The 23,597-nt window shown below is 35.4% G+C and overlaps 1 pseudogene across 6 annotated transcripts in view; it reads right to left on the reverse strand.

Annotated features, from left to right (window-relative positions):
- Positions 1–23,597, reverse strand: part of ANKRD20A3P (ankyrin repeat domain 20 family member A3, pseudogene) — a 59,242-nt pseudogene that overhangs the window by 13,392 nt on the left and 22,253 nt on the right. For 2 of the 6 annotated variants that reach the window (XR_001746296.3, XR_007061553.1), the window contains exons 9-16: positions 20,359–20,443; positions 17,622–17,650; positions 17,458–17,530; positions 11,412–11,482; positions 7,190–7,353; positions 5,582–5,762; positions 3,488–4,411; positions 1,876–1,951 (exon numbers count right to left, since the gene is read on the reverse strand). The product of XR_001746296.3 is annotated as an ankyrin repeat domain 20 family member A3, pseudogene, transcript variant X2 (transcript). Of the gene's footprint in view, positions 1–1,801; positions 1,952–3,082; positions 4,412–5,581; positions 5,763–7,189; positions 7,354–11,411; positions 11,483–17,457; positions 17,531–17,621; positions 17,651–20,358; positions 20,444–23,597 lie in introns of those variants that run through there. The other 4 variants (XR_001746295.3, XR_007061554.1, XR_007061555.1 and 1 more) reach the window with 4 other exon arrangements.

Consider the following 23,597-nt stretch of genomic DNA (forward strand, 5'->3'; position numbering starts at 1 on the left):
AAGCACTCTGCTGAGCACTCAGATTGAGGGGCTGTGCTATCCTTCATCAGACAAGCTGCACCCAGAACTGTTCAGCTGACAGACTGGGAGCAGTCCAGAAACACAGTAATGGCTGCATAGTGAAAAAAGGCCAATTTATATTCTTTTTCATAGAGAGAAAAACATAAACACGTGATTGAACGCATCTCCTGTGTTAGACTAATTGGGTTAGATTTGATATTTAATTGCTAAAAATATATTTAGAATATAACCTTACTGTGTCAAGGTCTCAAAGAAGAAATAATTGGTATGGTATAAATGATTGAATTGTATGCTACAAACTTCTAAGCTAAAATATTTTCAATGTATGCAAGGATAGGTGGCATACACATTATATATTATTCCCCCATTAAGCAAATTTATAATGAGAGAAAATTATCTTCCATAAAAAAATAAAAGCCATGTAAAATTAAGGACTAAGTTTTTCAGCACAGACTAGACAACGATTGCTAACACATAAGGTCAATGACAGAACAGTCAGAGAAAGCTTCATGAAAACAAAAAAATTGTCTGCCAGGTCTGAATGAATGAGGCTAGATGAACAGAAACTGAGAAGGCAGAAAGAATAGCATGAGCAAGACAAGTGCTGAAATCTGCCCAATTAACTCTGAGGATAAAGTCCAATGGCAGGGAAATAAAAACCCGTGTCCACATAATAACCTGTAAGTGAATGTTCACAGCAGCATTTTTCATAATAGCTAAAAAGTGGAAACTAACCTAAAGGTCCATCAACTGATGAACGAATGGAAAACCAGTATAGCCATGGAATAGAATATCATTTAACTATAAGAAGAAATAAACTACGAATGTGTGCTAAAACATGCATGAATTCTGAAAACATTATGCTAAGTGAAAAAGCCAGTCACAAAGGACTACATATTGTATAACTCTATGTATATGAAATATGCAGAACAGGCAAACATATGGAGACAAAAGTAGACGGTGGTTGCCTACAACAGGGGTAGGTGGAGGGACATGGAGGAAGGCTGCAGTCATGCCTAGGAGATGTGGGGTCACTTTTCAGGGTGACGAAAATGCTGTGAACATACTAATAGACACTGAGTTGTACATTTTAAATGGTTGAACTGTCTGATATGTGAATGACATCTCAGTGAATCTTTTTAAAATCCAAAGGCAGGATCAAGATAATTTTCTCAACTCTTAATTTTTGATGTACATGCTATATCAAATCTAAATATTTCTACAGTTTTACAGTATATTTTAAATAAAAGATAAAGAAAATGCCTAACTTTTCAAATAGTTTGTAAATTAACCTAAAACATGCACATTTCAAAGAATAGTATAATGGCCTTTCTGTACAAGTTAACCTAGAATCTGTGAAACAAATAGACACAGATTCTGTGTCCATTCACAAAAGTGAAGAAATAAGACAATTTTCTGGAACATTCCATGAAACATTCTCCTCTGATTTAATCTGGCTTGCCTCATCAGAGCAATACACAAATTACTTAAAAATACTGTTTAACAGGAAAAAAGTCAATTTTCTATGAGGAATGATGTATAATTCTCAACTTTTCCAAGGGTACATATTGTAAGAGAAAAGGTATGCAATGGTTTTTCAAAATGGTATAATGAAAGTCACAATATAAAAAAATAGTACATTATAAAGATAGTAAAATGGAAATCATTCATTATAATGAAAATAAAAAATCAAGCTTCTGCCAAAATTAGTATCCTAAAACACGTTATATAATTCAACTAGCTACAGAATAACTGTTGACATGTTAAATTCCATACATATTTGACTTTTCACTTGAAATAATTTCTTATTTGAGGCCTGTGTCTCATCCAAATTAATGTGACAACGTGATATACCTTCCAGTGGAGACTCTAACGTCGTTAATTTTTTTACGCTGTCAGCCACTTCTTGTTGAAGTTGTCTCACAACCACCTGATAAAATATTTGTTACTGATTTTATAAACTGCCTTATTAAATTATGTTAATAATGTTTAATTCTAACATATCTACTTTGAAAATTATCACCACACATATCAATTCACCTTCTTTTAATCACATGTACACATTTTTATTTATTACTGAATTCAGTGAGGGATGCAGAATATGTTCTCTTCCTGCCAAATTGGTATTCTCTTACTTACACAACAGATTCATTCCAACATTCAATCATCTCAGAAGCTCAACTCAGCCTCAAAGTTCCTAACATATTCAATCACCTGTTCAAATCCTTCCAACAGATTCCTATCTCAGAATAAAAGTAAAATTCCAATGGCCTTTGAGGCCCTAGGTAAAAAGGCCTCTACCTCCCTCTCTGACTTCAAAGCTCCTACAACTCCCTCCTGTAATTACTCCATTCCCACTGTATGTGAAGCCTGCCACCCCTCAGTCTGAAAATGGAGATGTAGTGCCTAACTCGTAAATCACAGACAGCTACAAGTATCTTTGTACTGAACAAAATTATATTCCAATGACAGTCATTGAGCCTTGCAATAAAAATTATGAGCTAATTATTAATATAAATATTCAAAGTAAACTATAAATACCAGTGGGAAAACTAAACCAAATATAGTTTTGCTAAGTTTTACCACATTTATCCTAAATTATGATTTTATAACAAGTAGGTGCCTTTAAAACATTACATGGTCATAAAAACACGTAATTTGACATATTTTCAGATTTGTTAATATGAATAATAACAAAGCTATACCAACTAAAATACATAAAAAGCTAGTTAAAGCAAGGTATTACAAGACACAGCAATACACTTCAATTCATCTGGGGAATCTAGAATTAAGTGTCGAAGAAAATCACTTAATTAAATTTTAATTTGAAAATACTCACTTCAGGTGTAAACATTTCCATTTATAACTACATTATGGTCTTAACATGTGGCAACATAAAGACATTAAAATTACTATTTCAGCAATACAGAACTATCTACCTTAAAATATGACTCTGTGCCTAATAAAATTTCATAGGTGACACAATGTCTTTTCTCAAAGTAAATCATCTCTCACCTCTATCTTTTATTTCCTAGAAATGAGGCATGTTTCTAAGCCGATATAGTAAACACATTTTTCCTTTTTTTATTAAAACAGCTTTGTTGAAATATAATTTACATACTATAGAATGTATCTGTTTTAAGTTAAAAGATTTTTAGTACATTTACTGAGTTGTGCAGCCATCTCTACAATCCAACTTTAGAGCATTTCCATCACTGTAAGATTCCTCATGCCCATTAGCAGTCACTACCAGCTTCCAGCCCCAGCCCCTTGCAAACATGAATCTACTTTTTGTCCCTATACATTTATCTTTTCTGGATGCTTCATGTAAATGGAATTATACAGTATGGTAAACACACTTTTAATCTAGATTTTTATATTCAACTAAGTTCAACATGTATCCAGAACCAAATGTTTAAATTGTCTTTCTAGAAGTTTGAAAATATTTATCTTCCTTGATACTTACTACTCCTTCTGTTTTCTCTCTCTCATACTGAAAGAGACTTTCTTTTAAATGATCACATTCATTCATTAGCTTCTTACTTTTCTCTTCTAGCACGAGGTCTTTCTTTCCACTCTCAATAAAGCCTCTTTGGATATTAGTTACTATCTCTTTATGATCCTCTTTCTGATGAACGTCATCTAGTTGCTGTACAAGCCACGCATTTTCACGTTGGAGGTGACATATCCTCTCTTCTACACAGTTCCACTTTCCAGTGGAATTATTCACTTTAGCTTCTGCATTTTGATACATCTCTTTCATTTCCTGTGTTTGCTGCTGTGTTTGGCTTAGGTCGTTTTGTACAGTTTCTAAAGCCAATGACTTTTTTCTGAGACTATCTCTTGTCTTACGGAACTTATCTTTTAAGGCATTGAATTTAATTTGTGTTTCAGAAAGTTGTTCAGTAAGAAACTCATTCTCATCTTTTACTTTGGAAATAGCAGAACTCATTTCTACTTGTACAGAAACATCTCGTGTTCTCTCTAAAGCAAGTTTTAGGTTTCTTTCTGTTTTCACACTTTCACTGTGTTTGCTTATAGCAGCAGCCAGTCTAGACTGATAAGATTCAATGTCAGCTTCCAGTCTTTTCTTGCTTTCTTTTTCCTTCAACAGTTCGGCATTGAGCCTTGTATTCTCAGCCTTGAGATAATTAAGCTCTTGTTGATACCGGAATGCTGTTTCTGTTATCATTTCCTCATTGAGTTTTATATACTTTTCAAGGGCAGCATTTGTTTCTTTAACAATTTTAATGTCCTTAAGATATTTATTTTCTTTTTCCAAGTTGTCATTTTTCATTGTACATATTTCCTGTCTGAGTATAGCAATATCTGCCTTCAAAATGCAATTTTCATCCATCAGACCTTTCATTTCTTCATGATTATGAAAATCCTAAATAAAACAAAAGAAAGTTTTAGCTAGTACTCAATAAAATAACATATCATGATTACCTCTGAAGTTAAAGAATAACCTGCACATCCGTACCACTAAAAAGTTTACCATAAGTGGATATCCACCTGGAGAAAAAGTTGAAGCAAAACTTTGAACCTTATAGAGCATAAATTCCAGAAAGTTCAGAAATGTATTTAGAGTCAATGAATTTATAAAAGTAAACACACACACACACACACCAGAGAATTTTTAAGAATATCAGAATTGGAAAAGCCTTTCCCTGAATTACAACAAACTCAAAAGCATAAATTAAAGCATTAACAAATTTGACTAAATTAAGATATATCAAAAAATTGCATTTACACTTTGATACCTAACCCATACACCACCCTATAGTAAGAACTTTTGTTCACACATATTTGGACAGATAAAATTTCCCAGAGTTATTACAGTTCTGTTTCACTGATAACATTCTATTTCAGTTTGACTCTTTTAACACTTTTATAGTCAGTTATAAGAATTACATTCACTAAATCATAAACTAGACATTATACTAGTCACTCCTATATACATTCATTGATGAACTCATCTAGTTACCATAATTTTGAAAAAGAAATGTTAAAAATATAAGCAAGCTACAGGATTTTCCCCAGGACTTCTGACTCTACTTCTAGTTCTCCAACAGATCACAGTTACTTCTGTGGTGTAAATACATCAATACGAAAGAAAACTTTTATTTCAAAATGCCAATAGTAAATAAGATAAAATTTATAGAGCTCTTCTTAGAATATCATGAGATTATTTGCGATTGCAATAATTTCTGCTTCCTCTTTATAATATTAGGTGCAGTAATCAATATGAAATAGGGGAAAGTACAAGGAAAAATTTTACCTGGAACAAAATTTTTATCAATAGGTTATCACTAAGTATAAATTATGGCATATTATTGTTTTCAAAAGCTCTTTGTAATAAAATAATATCCTATGTGGATGCCAAGATTTATAATAAATATTAATAATTGTACCTGTAAGTGTCATCATTCATTTTTAAAAATGAGATAACATTTATGGTTTTAGACCTAAACAATATATATTAAATCAAGTGGATATTATAAGTAACAGTGATAAGATAAAGTTTAAAATATAGAATTTTTACCAAAGATTGATTTACCCGATTTGGAGTATTTCTTGCAGTCTTTGATTTCATCTCTAGTGACTGAACAGTTGGTTCAAGTTGTTTTGCTTCAACTTCTTTCTTATATTGTTTCTCTTTCCTTTCTAATTCTTCTCTATTTTTTTTGTACAGCATATTAACATTTGTTTTTTCTTCATTTTCTTGTTTTAAGGTGCATCTGCAGATAAAGACATTTGTCTTAAAATTCATTTTGTTAAAAAATAAGGAGTTCATCCTGTTATCTACCTCTGCAGATGTTGTTTATTATCCTAATAAAATTTCTATGTTCTGGATTATTTTTCCTTTGCAGTTCTCAGATATTTAATTTCTCACTTCAACATCTTCAAATGAATGCATATACTTGAAAAGTAGTAAGGAAAGAATATTCTGCTAAAGTTTTTGTTACTAGTCACTCTAATATATATTATAAAAAAGGATACCAGAGATAATTCAGTAAAGTTACAGGTTCAAAATTACCTTTTTAAATCACACAGTCATAATTACTCCCTAATTAGAAAAGATCATTTACAATCAACTAAATTTTTAAAGTTACTATTTATTGACAAGCGTATAAGTTCACTAGAAATAAATTTTCATCTTTATGAAATATTGCAGGTGTTTCTCCAAATGATTTACAGAGTGAGATGACACCTTCAGATGTCTCTCACACAAACTATATCTGCAGATGACTGTCATCCAAAACTAGGCTGAAAAGTCTAACATCTGTTTCCCCACACTTTTTATATTTCTTTCTTAATACTTTCAATTCACCTTCTTATTACATATATTTTATATATTCATTAACCTATTGTTCATTATGTGTAATATATAATTAATGCATGTTAATTATATATTAATAAGTGTGTGTATGTTTACACCAGTTATGTTTTCCTGTGAAATCTAGTCCCAGAAGTGGAGTTGTTGAGTTAAAGGGATGTCAGGCTATTTGAAATTTTGATACACAGCACTAAGTTACCCTTCAGAAATAATTTACTAATTTCCTATACCAACAGTGTATGAGAATGCCTTTTTCCTCACATTTGCCAACACTAATAATTACTTTTTAAATATCAGCATGACTTTACAAAATATATCTTATTTTATGTTAATTTGCTTTTTTCTGAATACCAGGCAGGGCTAAATACCCCTGGTAAAAATATAAAACTTGTTAATCATAAGGAATATTAGTCCAATTTTCAATTAGTTTATAGCACAATGACAATTATCTCCTGTGAAATACTGCTATAGGCGGCCAGGCACGGTGGCTCGCTCCTGTAAACCCAGCACTTTGGGAGGCCGAGGTGGGCAGAACACGTGAAGTCAGGAGTTCGAGACGAGCTTGGCTAACATGGTGAAATCCTATTTTTACTAAAAATACAAAAAATTAGCCGGGCATGGTGGCACATGCCTGTAATCCCAGCTACTAGGGAGACTGAGTCAGAAGAATCGCTTGAACCCAGGAGGCAGAGGCTGCAGTGAGCTGAGATCACACCATTGAACTCCAGCTTGGGCAGCAAGAGAGAAACTCCATCTCAAAAAAACAAAAACAAACAAAAAAAACCCAAAACCAAACAAACAAACAAAAAAACACTGCTATAGGCTTACCTATCATGCTCTTCCTTCAGCTTCTTGGGAAATTGCTGAGGATACGTTTTCCCAATCTTTCTTTGTTGGGTTAATCTGCCAGCAGCAGCAGAAGATGTACTATCACATATATTTTCTGAAAGTTGTATTTTTTCACTTTTGTTTGTATTATTTCCTTCTTTGACCTTTAATAAAAGATGAATAATAATTGTTATTATTTTATTCAATAAAAAGAACTTTTTCCCTGATTTTTATTACTTGATTCAGGTTAACTATCACCACTTTAATGATAAAAGTATTTTGTGCTTACTTTAATTTTATCATTATACATAATTATTATAATTATAAGATACTCTTATTTTATCATCGAAATTTTTGTCAAATCTGCTCATTTCTGTTTGAGGGAATAGAAGAATTTTCCAAAATTTCAAAAAGGGCTCTTCTCCATTTTGTGCTTTTATTCCCATCCACTCTTTGCTATCTGGTATAAATTTTTATGCTATCTGGCTGGCAGAAACAGAGAAATAAAAAGACACAGGCATAATATATGTCTTCTGTCTTTACTACCTGGATTTTACATGAAATAGCCAGATTAAGAAGATGTGACCTTGTAGGCCTTCAGGAACAGTAAAGAAGTTTTCCCTTTTCTGTACTGAGCTACTCTTTTCCCCACTGCCTTTTATCTCTCTTTTTTTTTTTTTTGAATCCTGTGATATCAAAAAAGTAAAGGTTCTCTTTGAATTATGGGAACCAACGTTTGCCACAACAAAAGAAGCAGAGTGAAACTGCTGAGTTTCTAGTGCAGAATTCTGGAAAATGAGATGCTTCCCAGATTTCACATTCAATTACCACAAAAGTTTATAGGTGGAAAACATATGGTACAGTTACCTACTTTAACCCCATTATCTACTGATAATGGGAGTCAAACCAACCAAGACATATTAAATGTTTCATCCAGAGCTCTTGAGGTGGCATTCACTAGCATTTCATGGCACCATATAACATGATACAATTCCATATTGCTGAATTACATAAATTACCAGATAAATTTATCAAATTAGATATATTAAAAGTCTAACTTGAGCAAAGCAATTTAATGCCTCAGAGGGTGGAAAAAGGCCTCATCTGCTTTTACTTTGAAAGAAGAAAATCTCTAGATTTTTGTCTATCTTTAGAACACAATGTACAGAACTCAACTTTCTACTAAAGAGTCAAAGGCTAAATTTTTGGCTAAGAAATTATGCTTCTTATATGATAAAAATCATACATGCCAAAACTTACCATACTTTATTAAACAACATAACGTAAGGTCTGATTCAACAGAAATATTGCAGAGTGGTGATTTTTTAAAATATGTGTAAGTATATGTTTGTTTTCAAAAATATTGGAAATAACCATGATGGGACTGTAAGTTCAAACAGTTTGAGCTAAGCAGATAAACTTGCATGCATGAAAACACATTAAACAGACTCATTTGGCTGGGAATATTCGTTGCAACTCTCAAGGCTAGACGTGTTTTTGTGGCTTGTCTCAGTCATTGCTTCCCTCCCATTGTATTCCCATTCTATCATTAAATAAATGTAAATTATCTCTAAATGAATACAAGAAAAAAGAATCTAGAATCTAGAGCTTGTTTCTTTAGCAATTTCTTTATGTTGATCTGGTTCAGAAGGTCACATGGTATGTGGCTTAATTAGTTTCCCAGCTCATACGCCACTTGGAAGACTGATAGTGAGACATAGGTTGATTAATGAACAAACATTATGAGAACATTCTCCAGAACCATTATTTAGATAGCAGAACTAATCTACTTTGACACATAATTACACATTTAGATAACCCCACTGTAACTGTACACATGAGATTTTCTTGAATAGAAAATTTGACTAAATCAAATAATTGATAAAGAGGAAAAAGAAGCAGCAAGTGAACCTCTGTCTTTTTGAAGTTGGACTTGCTTTTCTCCAAAGCCAGGAACTCAACTTGTAACATGCCTACCTCATTCTTTTTTTAATTATTATTATACTTTAAGTTCTGGTACATGTGCACAACATGCAGGTTTGTTACATATCTATTCATGTGCCATGTTGGTGACCTTGGAATATCTTCCCATAAGTCTTCTAGCTATATTTTTGATGTTCTCTCACTATGTGGTAAAGAATAACTCACATTTTATAATTCAAGATTCATGCTTCTGTAGTTGTTAGCACTGGGATTGCCATATAGTGGCTGCTGGAATAAACGCTGTATTGGTTTTCTGTTTTTATAAGTATCTGTAGCAGCAGAAATACTGTGGCTTTCTATCTGAATCATATGCTTCATTTCTTTGGGGTGGGTAAACAACAAATCAAAAAGACTTTCTGGATCTCTAGACTGAGGCCAATGCCTAATGTCCAATTTCCAATTAGTGGTATCTGGGTTTACATTTTTTGCCATTTGCATGTCAAACTCTTAATCATCTTTCATTTCAATCATAATTACTGGGTTCCTTAATTTTTTGGTTTCAGTATCATTACAAAAATTTTCATCATCTGTGTTAGAAACAAGCTATGTGTCTGGTTTGCTATCATTTTTATAGTCTGATTTATTTTCATTTAAATGAAGCTTAGAAGATGACTGGTAACTGTATTTCAGGGACCTGGAGTATGAATGGAATAAAAAGACATTTGACATGGGCTTCCTCTGTTCAGGCGCTGCCTGGAATGCCACAGAGTTAGACCCTCCAGATGCATCTTCCTCCTCACAATCAGGGACCTGATTCATCAGATTAGAGGGCACTCCTTTTTTGTTCGTCCCTCTTTAGAGTTACTATGTAGGAGCTCTTCCTCAGGGCAAGCAGTAATTCTGGAGTTTTCAAAACTTTCACCAATATTCAGCTTGAACTTGTTTGTAATGAATTTTAAAGAAAGTCGTGAATATACAGACAGATTATTCCCTTTATCACAATTCTTACCCAGTTCTGGTTCTTGAGACTTTTTTTTTTTTTTGGCAGGTGCAAAATGGAAAACAAATTTGCTTGTTTTGTTTCTCAGATGCCTTTTCTGTCAGAGTGCATGTTTTAAAATTAGCTTTAATCAAGTATAAACAAAAATACTAGAAAATAATTAAAATTTAACTGTGAAACTTAATCTATGTGTTGCCACTCTTAAATTATGGGATTGTAACTAAAAAGTGAAAAATAATTTGCCTTGGCTTAACATAGGACAGAAATATGAACTGGCAAGCTGAACGCTTAGCATTTGTTTGGATTAAACTTAATGCATTATGTGTAAAATCTACCAGAAATGAATTCAAAGCTGATAGGTAGTATTATAAAATCTTCCTCTCTTACAAAGATTTTACCTCAGCATACCAGAAAAAGTGAGCCCCTACAGTACGTGTATATTTCTGAAGATTAACTACAGACTAGGCAAACACTGAATTATTAAGAGCCAAACTGAACACCAATAAGAAAGGGAAGCAAAATTTTAAATTCTAATTCAAATAATATACTATGATAGTGTTATGTATCTAGATGGATTATCTGCTTATATCCACTTCTAATATATTTTAAGTTCCACTAGTGATAGTGGATGGATTTTTTAAATTTTAGTAACATTTACTATGTATTTATGTCAAAATAAAGTTATTGTTTGTACCCTGACACCAAAGGTCCCATTCCACAAGGTAGGATTCTCTTAATAGGCAACTGGGTTGACTTTTATGACCCCACTCACTCCCTGAACACAGACACAGAAGTCAAATGGTGACCACAAAACAGAATAAATCTTTAACCTCGGCACTGGTGACCAGCAATATAAAACTGCAACATTTGAACCATTGGCAATGATGACTCCTTTAACACTAGTTTAACTCAGTGGCCATCATTGTTAAATTGTTCACAATTTCTATTCCTTAATAATATGACCCAATATTTCATGTTACCTTCTGTATTATGAGTAAGGTTATAACAATAAAAGAGCAAGATAATTCTGAAAATGTCTTGCCTCAATTCCAAGGGTAAAGACAGCTATGAGTTACTAGAGATAGTAAGAATTACCAGAATAACTAATAGTTACTAGAGATAGTAAGAATATCTTAAGTTTCATAACTGGTTAAGATGTTTTAAAAATTAAATATAAAATTATGATCTATCGGATTCTAAAGGTATAGTCTAAAAGGTCATGTCATTTGGACTATGCTTTGTTACTGAAGCAAAAAAACAAAACCCAATATTAAACAAGAAACTTGAATTTTCATATACCTGTGGTTGCTTCTTTTCACTTCTTTCATGCCTTTCTTGCTCTTCCTCTGAAGCCACTGGTAAGGCTTGTTCTGTTGACAAATTCATTGGTTTAGTTCAAATGAACTAAGAACAGTTAGATAAAGACTATAATCTATATAAAAATAAATAGAGAATAACATTTCTTTGTATTTTATATTTTGAGAGTTTCAATGAAGCTTAATGTTTACTGAAATATTTAGTTCTTTAAGAAATACTTCTAATCATCCAAAATTTCAACAAACCACTTGGGGAGACATTAGATATCACCAGGTTCAAGCCATATGAAATCTCAGGGTCACTCACAAATTGTTCCACCCAACATAAATCAACAAAACTGTTAGAAACAAAACAAAATTTTGAAATACAGTCAAAATATACAATGTAACACTTTACTATACTTCATAACAGTATCTTTTTAACAAGACACTAATTGAGTTGGCAGTTACTAATAATTTGCAAAATTATTGTTGTTTATACCTTAATTAGTGTGCACCCCATTTTTTACATCGCAAATGTTTTCCCCTACTATTCTGAAAAATTTATTTTCATCTTTTAAGACTCAGAAAGTAGGCTGGGCATAATAGCTCACATCTGTAATCCCAGCACTTTGGAAGGCCAAAATGGGGGAACTGCTCAAGGCCAGGAGTTTAAGACCAGCCTGGGAACCATAGATAACCTTGACTCTACAAAAAATTGGACAGGTATGGTGATATGTGCTTGTAGTCCCAGCTACTCAAGAAGCTTAGGTGAGAAGATCCCTCGAGCCCAGGAGTTTGAGGTTGCAGTGAGTCTCGATCACACCATTGCACTCCACCCTGGGTAATAGAGTAAGAACTTGTCTCCAACAACAGAAAAAGAAAAAAAAAGGCTCAGAATGCTGTGTGAAGTCTTCCTTGATTCTAGCTGTCTTTCTCCACACACACAGGTGTCTGCTTCATTGGAGTTCCTTAGTACTTTGTCAACTTTTCCAGCGTCACTTTACCACCTGAACTGCACATCATGTCTTTACATGTTGATCCCCTTTGCTGTTAGACTGTAGAGGACAATCTTTTGAATCATCTTTGTATAAACAGTCTTAATTTTGCTAAATAATTACTTATTGAGTTCCTGCTAAGTGTTAGGCACTGGGGTATAAGGAAGGAAAATAAAAGCTGTCAGGGATGGCTTTCCTAAAGATCATGCATGAGCTGAGACTTAGAGAGTAAGGTTAGCCAGATTAAGTGAGGCAGAGGGCAGGAAAGGGTGAGCACATGCCAGGCAGCAACAAGAGAGGGAGAGAAGCCTCCAAGAGAGTATGTATTTCTCTGCAAAAGAGGAATGGTGAGGGGGCCATTACCAGCAGCTCAGTAATTCCAGAGAAAAAGGCAGATGGGGAAAGGGCTACAGATGGAGATTTGGGCAGAAATCAGTTTCCTTTTCTTTTCTTTTTTTGGGACAAGGTCTTACTCTGTCTCCCAGACTGGAGTGCAGTGGCATGATCTTGGCTCACTGCAACCCGGCCTCCCAGGTTCAAGTAATTCTCCTGCCTCAGCCTCCCAAGTAGCTGAGATTACAGGCATGTGCCATTACCACCTGCTAATTTTTGTATTCTATTAGAGATGGGGTTTCACCTTGTTGGCCAGGCTGGTCTTGAACTCCTGACCTCAAATGATCCACCTGCCTCAGCGTCCCAAAGTGCTGGGATTATAGACACGAGCCACCATGCCCAACCCAGAAATCAGTTTCTGAAATCCTTATATAAAACTTTAAGATGCTTGGACATAGGTATTCAGGAGTGGTTCACAGATCTATTTGCATTAGAGATAATTAACTCTAATTATTGTGAGGAGCATAAAATTCTGAGGCATATAAATCAATGAACAAAGATAAAATATAAGGCAGTGTTGCAAAGATGATGCAGGCCTGAGGAGATGTTTTCAGAAATATTTAGGACATAAGTATCAGTGGCCATTGTAAGCATGAATTTTTATTGAATGAATAAATGTATATATCTGGGTCCCTGGAGAAATACACTCTGCTCATTACTTTACAAATTTTATCAAATGAGAAGTAGAATAATATACATAAACTGTTTCAGTTACTTGTATTTACTTTACACTTTTTCTGTTTCAGTTTTACTGTGCCAAGGAAATGCATTTGGGTTTTGTGGTGGTTGTTGCTGTTGCTGTTGTTGTTGTTGTTGTTGTTGTTGTTGTTGTTGAGATGGAGTTTCACTCTTGCTGCCCAGGCTGAAGTGCAGTGGTGCAATCTCAGCTCACCGCAACTGCTGCCTCCCAGGTTCAAGTGATTCTCCTGCCTCAGCCTCCCGAGTAGCTGGAATTACAGGTATGTGCCACCATGCCCAGCTAATTTTGTGTTTTTAGTAGAGATGTGTTTCTCCATGTTGGTCAGGCTGGTCTCAAACTCCCAACCTCAGGTTATCTGCCCGCCTCAGCCTCCCAAAGTGCTGGGATTACAGGCACGAGCCACCGCGCCCAGCCACATATGGGGATTTTGTTTTAAAAGTTCTGTTTCCTGGATCTACCAAGCTCATGAGAAAATAGAAGCAAACAAGTCATTTGCATAGGTAAGAAACTTTGGATTTATACTTTGTCATCACTACTCTAGAAGATTATCATCATGTTTTGTAAAATAAAATGTTAATTCTAGACATAAGGGGAAAGAGAAATTAAAACTATAGGGGTGAAAAAATATTGCATAATTTATTACTGTTGACCTGACCATATGACTGATTAAGGGCACTGAATTTAACTTGTATGTGAAGTAGACCCCATATTAGCTGCAGTTAATCAATAGACCAGGTATTCTAGCAGAATTAAATTTGATGCTCCTGTGTTATCTTTAAATGATACAGCTCTTCTGAAAACCCATACTCATAGTGCATGATTATCCATTAAGACAAGGTGATGGAATGTGTGAATACAGCTCAGGAGACACCACAAGGCAAATGCTCAATGGTTCCCATTAATATTGGGGAAATCAACATTATAATACAGAAAACCATAGGCATTATTTAATATTTGGTTTTGGAAGGTATTTTTAGTGACACTGCATAGAGTTGTACCTAATAATTGCAAAATTACAGATGTAAAAATAAAACAAAGGCACATTGTGTTTGAGTAGGAAATCTGTAGACGTCTAGCTGGTTTTCTATTCCAGGCCCAAAATTCTAAATATAATCATGGTACCCGCACACAAATTTATGTTAAATACCAACTTCAATGAAATTACTCTTTCTCCTCATTCTCTTTGTTATTTATATGTTGCTTTCCTTAAGGGAAGAATACAAATGCCTTGCTAAGAAGCATTTTGTTTGGTTGTAGGCTGCATAAAGGGAGTAAACACAAAGTACATTTGACCACAGAATGACTTTTTAAAAGCCAGAACTATGGTAGCATGAAGCCAACTGAGGTAATCTAGAATAAAATTTTCTATGTTTGTTTCCCTTCTTTGCTCTCTTTCTACTCTAATAACTGCGATTCACAGAGGTAATGAAGAGTATAATTCCCTGATAAAAACACAGCTCCAAGATTAATCCTTTCTTTAACTATGAAGTTCGTGTGTCCAAAGTCTTGTAGTTGCTGATTTTTGATCACGAATGGTGATACAGATATTTATCATCAACTCACAACTTCCCAAATCTTTGAAAAGTCTTACTATTGATGGTTCAACTAGTAGAAACATAATCTAAAATATCTGAAAATAAAGTTTTTATTAGAATGTAAATAGTAATACAAATTGTAATAAGGTGTAAAAGTTCTTTCTTCACTGAAGCAGGACCATGATGTCCTCTACCCCACAAACACACTACTCCCTCATGGTCTAATGTATCTTAAAAGTCCTGTAATTGCTATTAACTCAGACAAGTTTACTTAACTTGTTCTAAGCTTCTGTTATTTACTACAATTTACTTTATCACTCAACAATCTCTATTATATATGTTGTTTTCCATGAGAAATTTTTTTATTAATAATTAGGATTCTTCAGGGATAAGAAAATATTTGAATAACTAAGTTTGTGCATAAACACATTAAGGTCAAATACCCATGACAATATTGTGTGTTTCTCTGTACTAGAGACAAAAACTTCAAAAAAATTTTTAATGAATATACATTAAAAACTGCTTTCATTAAACTGAGATGATCTTCCCTCAATGCATGAATACCTTCAGAATTCACATAGACCAAAGAATTGTATAAAATATAATAGCCTTAAAAATCTTATTTGTACCTGGCACAGTGGCTCCTGCCTGTAATCCCAGCATACTGGCAAGCTGAGGCAGGCAGATCACCTGAGATCAGGAGTTTGAGAGCAGCCTGGCCAACATGGTGAAACCCCATCTCTACTAAAAATAGAGAATTTAGCAGGGTATGGTAGCACATGCAGGTAGTATCAGCTACTCGAGGGCCTGAGGCAGGAGAATTGCTTGAACCCGAGAGGCAGAGGTGGTAATGAGTCAAGACCGAGCCACTGCACTGCAGCCTTGGTGACAGAGCAAGACTCTGTCTCAAAAACACAAACAAACAAACAAAACACCTAATTGTTCCCACATAAGTCTATATTCACACAAGATCTGAAGAGTACACAACACCGTGAGACAGGACAGACATAAATTTTAAAAGTTATATTCCCAGTTTCTGTAAAAATAAAACGGTTGAATTTAAGCTTTTAAGACAAGTCAAGGAAAAGAGCAAAAAATGCAAAAGTGAAACTTGAAAGGTCATTTTCCCATCAAGGGCTCATGATCCACTGGACATTCACAAACTATATTGTTCAAAACATTAGTTCTGAATTTTGATCTGAGTATCCCTGGAGTTGCAGTTTCATTCAAAGATGTCCAAGAGGTCAAATAAGACAATATCATTTGCTATTTTCAGTTTTCTTTTCTGAGAACAGCACAACAAACTTCTTCAGAGAAATGAATTGTCCTAACTTCATAGGCTAAAGGCTCATGAGTCACAGTTCTAAGGGCATTTATAAAATATGGTGGTGCATGCTTGTATTCTGAACTTTTCAACTTTAAACTCTCATATAGTAAATATTAATAGATACAAACTGATTAAAGAAAAGCCCACTTAATCTGACATTATTTTTATTTTTCTTTCTTTCTTCATTTATCAGCAACAGGAGAGTCTAACTAAATGTGGTAAAGTGGTATAAGGGAATACAATGAAAAGTGTAAAATGAATTAAACCAGAGATAATCATATCAATGTGGATACATCTGGAAAATATAATACAAAATACACCAAAGAAAGTGGCAGAAAGGTATGTAAAGTGTATAACCACTCACATACCATTTTGGGACACAAATAAAAAATTCTGCATATTATTTCTGAGCATCACAATATAGTTAAAGATTTCAAAAGGGCATTGAAATGAAAAACAACCAACTTATGATGTCGGTAGCCTCTATGCAATCATGTTTTAAAAACCTTAACACCAAAAAGTCTCAAAATCACCATTTTAAAAGACTGTGTCTACCAGTTATAAATGAATCATTACTTTCCTCATTTTTAATAGTCAAAGATGCCACAAACACACACATACACACAGCTATATATACACCTACACACACAGTCTTGCTCATTAGAACATCTGATTGGCTTCAGATCATCAGTGTAATAACACTAGCAGCAAGCCTCTAAAGTTAAAACAGAATCTGACATGTTAATAAGTAAAGCTTTCCTCTAGGTAAAGTTCAGAACTCCAAGTAGCACTTAACTCATTGGAAATATCTTAGAGTCTCAAAATTCACTGCTTTGAATCCCTGACAGGTATAAAAATTTTATACTGAAAACTTCATGCTATTCAAAACATTAAAAGAGAAACATCTGAGTTAAAGCTTACATTTTTAAAATCTTTTTTATGCTTCTAAATTTATTTTTATTCAAATATGGATACCAACAATAACATTTATGTCAATGCCTTCCATTCAATTTTGAACAAATAGAATTAGGAATAAGAATAATGTGAGTACTTCCAATCATTGAATGTACTTATTTCCAGTATTCCATTAAATGTACCTGCTCTCAATGTCTGTACATTCTTTCTTTGTACTGCTCCTTTCACAGCAGGATCTTCTACTTCAGTGCTAGGCTGAATGGGTTTTAAAAGAAAATGATTCATAAATCATATATATTTTATACAACATGGAGTTAGTGATTCAAAAATATACATAATTAATTACCTTCAAGGAAGGATGTTTTGCAGGAGGCCCTACAAAGCAAAGGGGATATGTCATCAATTATATGTAAGTATGACAGGGCCAACCAAACATTCATGCAGTGGTACTATCGAGCTGAATTCTCATGCCTGGCTATAAAAATAATTACTTAAGGTTTTGAGGGTTCTTCTTGGCATCTTTTCATTGCCTAGGACGGCAACATGACAGAAACATAATGAGGAAAATAGGAATATAGGATTCCTAAAATGCACAGTTTACATTTCAGTAGTGAGATTATGTTTCAAATGCCTATACCTAAAATAGAAAAGCATGGATATCACCGTGAACATGTGGACTGATGAGGAGAAAAGGGACCATTAAACAGAGGAGCAAATCAAACCTGAGGGAATCGACGTCAAAGCTGATGGTGAATGTACAGAGTATTTTAACTCAACACAGCAGAGGCATTGCTGCCAGCATGCCACAAACAAATTCCCCTTGTCTTGTCACTGAGGAAATACACAGTTGGGATGACAGTTCAGGTGAATGTGTGATTCACCTCTCATCAAAGAAAGTGTTCTACATTGATCAGCTAGTATACACACTTATGAAATGACAGCTAATCAAACTACTCATTTTTCCCATGATCACATGGGCTACTGCAGCACCTACATTTCTCCTATCCCCTCATTTGGCCTTGAGTTAGAGCTCCTTGATCCACTCATGCAAGGATCACATAAAATAAACCATGTCGAATAAGCTTCCGATATCAAAATATTTATCAAAAAAGAAAACACTGAATTACCACAGACTTGCTGGATATGAATACATATTTATATTTCAAAATCAGTGCAGTATTTATTGAAAAAGAGAATTTTGGTATTCACAGAATGAATTTTGTAATATCAAAAAAAATTAGCCAAAGCATCTATATGCAACTTAATCACATCTTATTCACTCATGTCAGTGAAACTTCTCTCTCTGAGGCCTGACAGTTATCAAGTGAAATGAGCTGCTGTGGTTTACCCCAACTCTAGCACTCCCTCCTGCCTCCAGTACTCTCCACAGCAATAACCTCTTTTGTGAGACTGGGCATATGCTGAAGCAACTGGAAGTGAGTTGTCTCAAGTTTACTTGGCTTCAACTCCCAAGACCCCAGCAAATGTCTTTCTTTCCTCCCTCCGTGTCCTTTCACAATCCCTCTTCCTTTGAAAAAGTGATTTTTAGAACTGTCATCCTGATGCTTCCCTTCCTAACTGCTTTTTATGGATAATTGTGACCACTTTTTTCATCTGTATTCAGCAGTAGTATACACCTGTAATCTCTCTGTTTTCATCTCATTCTCCTTCCCCTGTGGCTAGAATCATGCTCAGAAATAAAAGGAAATTAATGCTTTCCCTGGATTCTGTTATTTTTTAAATTGCTCTCCAATGGTTCTTTTTCCAGAGTTCTCTAAAGGAAGGCTATTCCCTTGCTATTCAGAGCTGTGTCCAAGGACCAGCACCAAAAATCACCTGAGTACTCATGAGAAATGCAGACTCCCATACCTGCTGAATCAGAATGTGCACCTTCCAGAAGCTCTTCAACTCATTCATGACAATTTGAATGCCCTGTTCTACACTGATGTGCTTCCATATTGGTTTCCCCTAATTGCCCTTTTGGCCTAGCCTCAATTTCTTCCCTATTATGTCCCTCAATTTAATACTACATTATAAGCCATAATGTTTCTAATGAACTTTTAATCAGGCAATAACTTCTTGAATTAATTTCTTCTCCATAAATCACCCAACACTATTCAATTATGTTAATTTGGCCTATATGATACTATCCTATGAGGTTACAACATTTTCTATAAAAACAAATTATAGCCATACATGGCTGACCATCTTTGGTGATGTTCATCTATGGTAGATAAAACACAGGTCTGTGTGGTGAGGTGCCTCAATCCTTAATGCCTCCCCAGTAGCGAGGATGACAGCAAGAGAAGGAAAATGTTACTGTAATTCTCTGACACATTTTGGTACTGGAAGCTCACTTTATCTTCTTTCCTGTTTCTAACACCATGTTCTTCCTTCTTCTACAGATCAATTTGCCTTTACTATCCTCTCTTACTTACCTCTGCATATGCTTTTTTATTTATTCCATGTACAATCCGCTCTCCTCATTCTTTCTTTCTCTTTATTCATTTCCTCTTCCCTCTCTCCTGACTTGCCTCAGGTCTTAGAGTATCTTAAAATGGAACTCACAATTCAGCTCCTTTAGTGGTACTCCCAATAGAATCAACTGCTGACCCTTGGTTAGAGACACAACTTATCACCATTTCACTTCTCCTTTACTTATTATACAGTTAATAGGACACTTTCTTTAGCTATTACACTCTATTAGTGCTCATATTTTCAAAGAAACATTCCATCAAATGACTTTTTTTGTTTTGTTTTTTCTGAGACGGAGTCTCGCTCTGTCGCCCAGGGTGGAATGCAGTGGTGGTATCTCCGCTCACTGCAAGCTCCGCCTCCCGGGTTCAAGCCATTCTCCTGCCTCAGCCTCCTGAGTAGCTGGGACTACAGGCGCCCACAACACCACCTGGCTAGTTTTTTGTATTTTTAGTAGAGATGGGGTTTCACCATGTTATCCAGGATGGTCTGGATCTCCTGACCTCGTGATCCGCCCGCCTCGGCCTCCCAAAGTGCTGGGATTACAGGCGTGAGCCACCGCACCCGGCCTCCATCAAAAGACTTTTTAAATAAAATACGGTTCTCACCTTCTCCTTGTCCATTGACTATTCTGTTTCCTTTTTCATGCGAAGATCCAGGTAAAGGCTCTGACACTTTCTCGGGGACACACTGCTAAGGTAATATCAAGAATTAGTTTCCATTTTAAAATTATAATGAGTTGCATCAAGAGTTTCTTATCAATCTCTTTTTATGAAACTGGGTCTCACTCTGTCAACCCAGGGCTAGAATGCAGGGGCCTGATTATGGCTCACTGTTGTCTCAAACTCCTGACCTCAAGCAATCTTCCCACCTCAACTTCCTGAATAGCTGGAACTACAGGTGTGTCCCTTCATGCCATGCTAATGTTTTTATTGTTATCTTTGCAGAGACAAGGCCTCATTATACTGCCCAGGCTGGTCTCAAACTCCTGAGCTCAAGTAAATCTTCCACTTCTGCCCCCCAAAGTGTTGAGATAAGCAGTGTGCACCACCACACCCAGCCCTAATCAATTTCTTTAAATCAATCTCAATGTTGCCCAGGCATGGTGGCTCACACCTGTAATCTCAGCCCTTTGCAAGGCCAAGGTGGGTGGATTGCTTGAGTTCAGGAGTTTGAGACCAGCCTGGGCAACATAATGAGAACACATCTCTACTCAAAAAATACCAAAAGGAGTCAGGCATGATGGTGTGCGCCTGTAGTCCCAGCTGCTTGGGAAGCTGATGTGGGAGGATCACTTGAGCCTGAGAGGTGGATACTGCAGTGAGCCAAGATCATGCCACTACACTGCAGCATGGGCAACAGAGCAAGACCCTGACTCCCCAAAAATTTCAATTTAAAATATGAGAATGAAGAGAGATACAAACAAAAAACAAGCCTAATTGGTCAATGAAATATGAGCTTAAGCCAAGAAAGAAAAGAGACAACATGAAGTACAATAAAGTACATGGGGAAATAGATCTATAACAGAGCCTTTTGCTCTTTCATATCCCTGATAATACTAATTAATATTTATGCTACAATTAGTTTTTTGTAAGTACTTCTGTGATATAGCTTATTACTATAAGACATTCAATTAGCTAAATATGGTCATCGACCACTACCTGAAAGAACATTATTATAACACAGAGAGAAAACTAGAACTTTCAATCAACTTTCCACCCAGAAAAAAATTGGTCACCAGAATTCTAAAGAGTAACGTATGGCAGACACATGAAAAAATGCTCATCATCACTGGCCATCAGAGAAATGCAAATCAAAACCACAATGAGATACCATCTCACACCAGTTACAATGACGATCATTAAAAAGTCAGGAACCCACAGGTGCTGGAGAGGATGTGGAGAAATAGGAGTACTTTTACACTGTTGGTGGGACTGTAAACTAGTTCATCCTTTGAGGAAGACAGTATGGTGATTCCTCAAGGATCTAGAACTAGAAATACCATTTGACCCAGCCATCCCATTACTGGGTATATACCCAAAGGATTATAAGTCATGCTGCTATAAAGACACATGCACACGTATGTTTATTGCGGCACTATTTACAATAGCAAAGACTTGGAACCAACCCAAATGTCCATCAATGATAGACTGGATTAAGACAATGTGGCACATATACACCATGGAATACTATGCAGCCATAAAAAAGGATGAGTTCATGTCCTTTGTAGGGACATGGATGAAGCTGGAAACCATCATTCTGAGCAAACTATCGCAAGGACAAAAAACCAAACACTGCATGTTCTCACTCATAGGTGGAAATTGAACAATGAGAACACTTGGACACAGGATGGGGAACATCACACACTGGGGCCTGTCGTGGGGCGGACAAGGGGGGAGGGATAGCATTAGGAGATATACCTAATGTAAATGATGAGTTAATGGGTGCAGCACACCAACATGGCACGTGTATACACATGTAACAAACCCACACATTGTGCACATGTACCCTAGAACTTACAGTATAAGAATAATAAAGAGTAATGTATGGCTTGAAAACGTATATTTAATAGAACATGAGTTAGAGCTAATAAAAAGCTTAAGAAATGTTAATCTAAAATCTCAATGTTAAGATTCCAGTTGAATGATACTAGAAAATATATTGTAACCCTATTTGCTACTGATGACCTATTTCTATTTTATTTCCTTTTTAATTATGGCATAATTTCTCAACATAACATATCAAAACTTATACACCCTTAAATATTAAAAAATACAATGTAAGCAATATTTTAAATACAATATTTAATTATTAGATACATTAGGTTTATTATATTACTTATAACATTCCATTATATAAAAATTCATTTGTCTATTTATTCAGATTAAACAACTATTAAGGCTGAATGTCTTATGCCTGTAACCCAGCACTTTGAGAGGCTGAGGCAGGCAGAACACTTGAGCCCAACAGTTAAAGACCAGCCTGGGCAACAAGGCAAAACCCTGTCTCTACAAAACTCAGCTGAGCATGGTGACACAGGTCTATGGTGACATAGCTCTATTGTTTAAACTACTTGGATGGCTGAGGTGTGAGGATCACCTGAGCCCAGGAAATGGAGATTGGAGTGAGCCAAGATCTCACCAGTGCCCTCCAGCCTGGGGGACAGAGTGAAACCCCATCTCAAAAAACAACAACTAAAATGCTTCTTACATGGAAGACTGTATTCTAGGTACTCCAGGATACACACAAATATGTTTACTGACCTCCAGTAGCTTACGGTATGCAGGAGCTTCCAATGATTATTTAAACAACTAAATAGAAAACCTTCTGAAATTCAAAATTTCAGAATATGATATGAGGACTTTGAGTGGCTATTTTATTTTTTAAGATGTAGTCTTGCTCTGTCACCCAGGCTGGAGTGCAATGGTGCGATCTTGGCTCACTGCAACCTCCGCCTCCCGGGTTCAAGCGATTCTCCCACCTTGGCCTCCTGAGCAGCTGGGGTTACAGGCATGCACCATCACGCCTGGTTAATTTTTCTGCTTTTGTTTTGTTTTGTTTTGTTTTGGTTTTGGTTTTTTTTAGAGACAGGGTTTCACCACGTTGGCCAGGCTGATCTTGAACTCCTGACCTCAGGTGATCTACCGACCTCGGCCTCCAAAACTGCTGGGATTACAGGTGAGTCTCCACACCTGGTGAAGTAAATATTTTAAATAAACTACAATGACAAAATTATGAGGATAAAGTCTTACCATCCATTGGTATTAAGAGTCTCTGCTTCTAGAACTGGTTATTTGCAGCAAAATACATGTTATTCAATTAGATGAAGTGCCTTATATAAACTCTT

The sequence above is a fragment of the Homo sapiens genome, chromosome 9, assembly GCF_000001405.40.
Source record: "Homo sapiens chromosome 9, GRCh38.p14 Primary Assembly".
NCBI classification, from domain to species: Eukaryota; Metazoa; Chordata; class Mammalia; order Primates; family Hominidae; genus Homo; species Homo sapiens.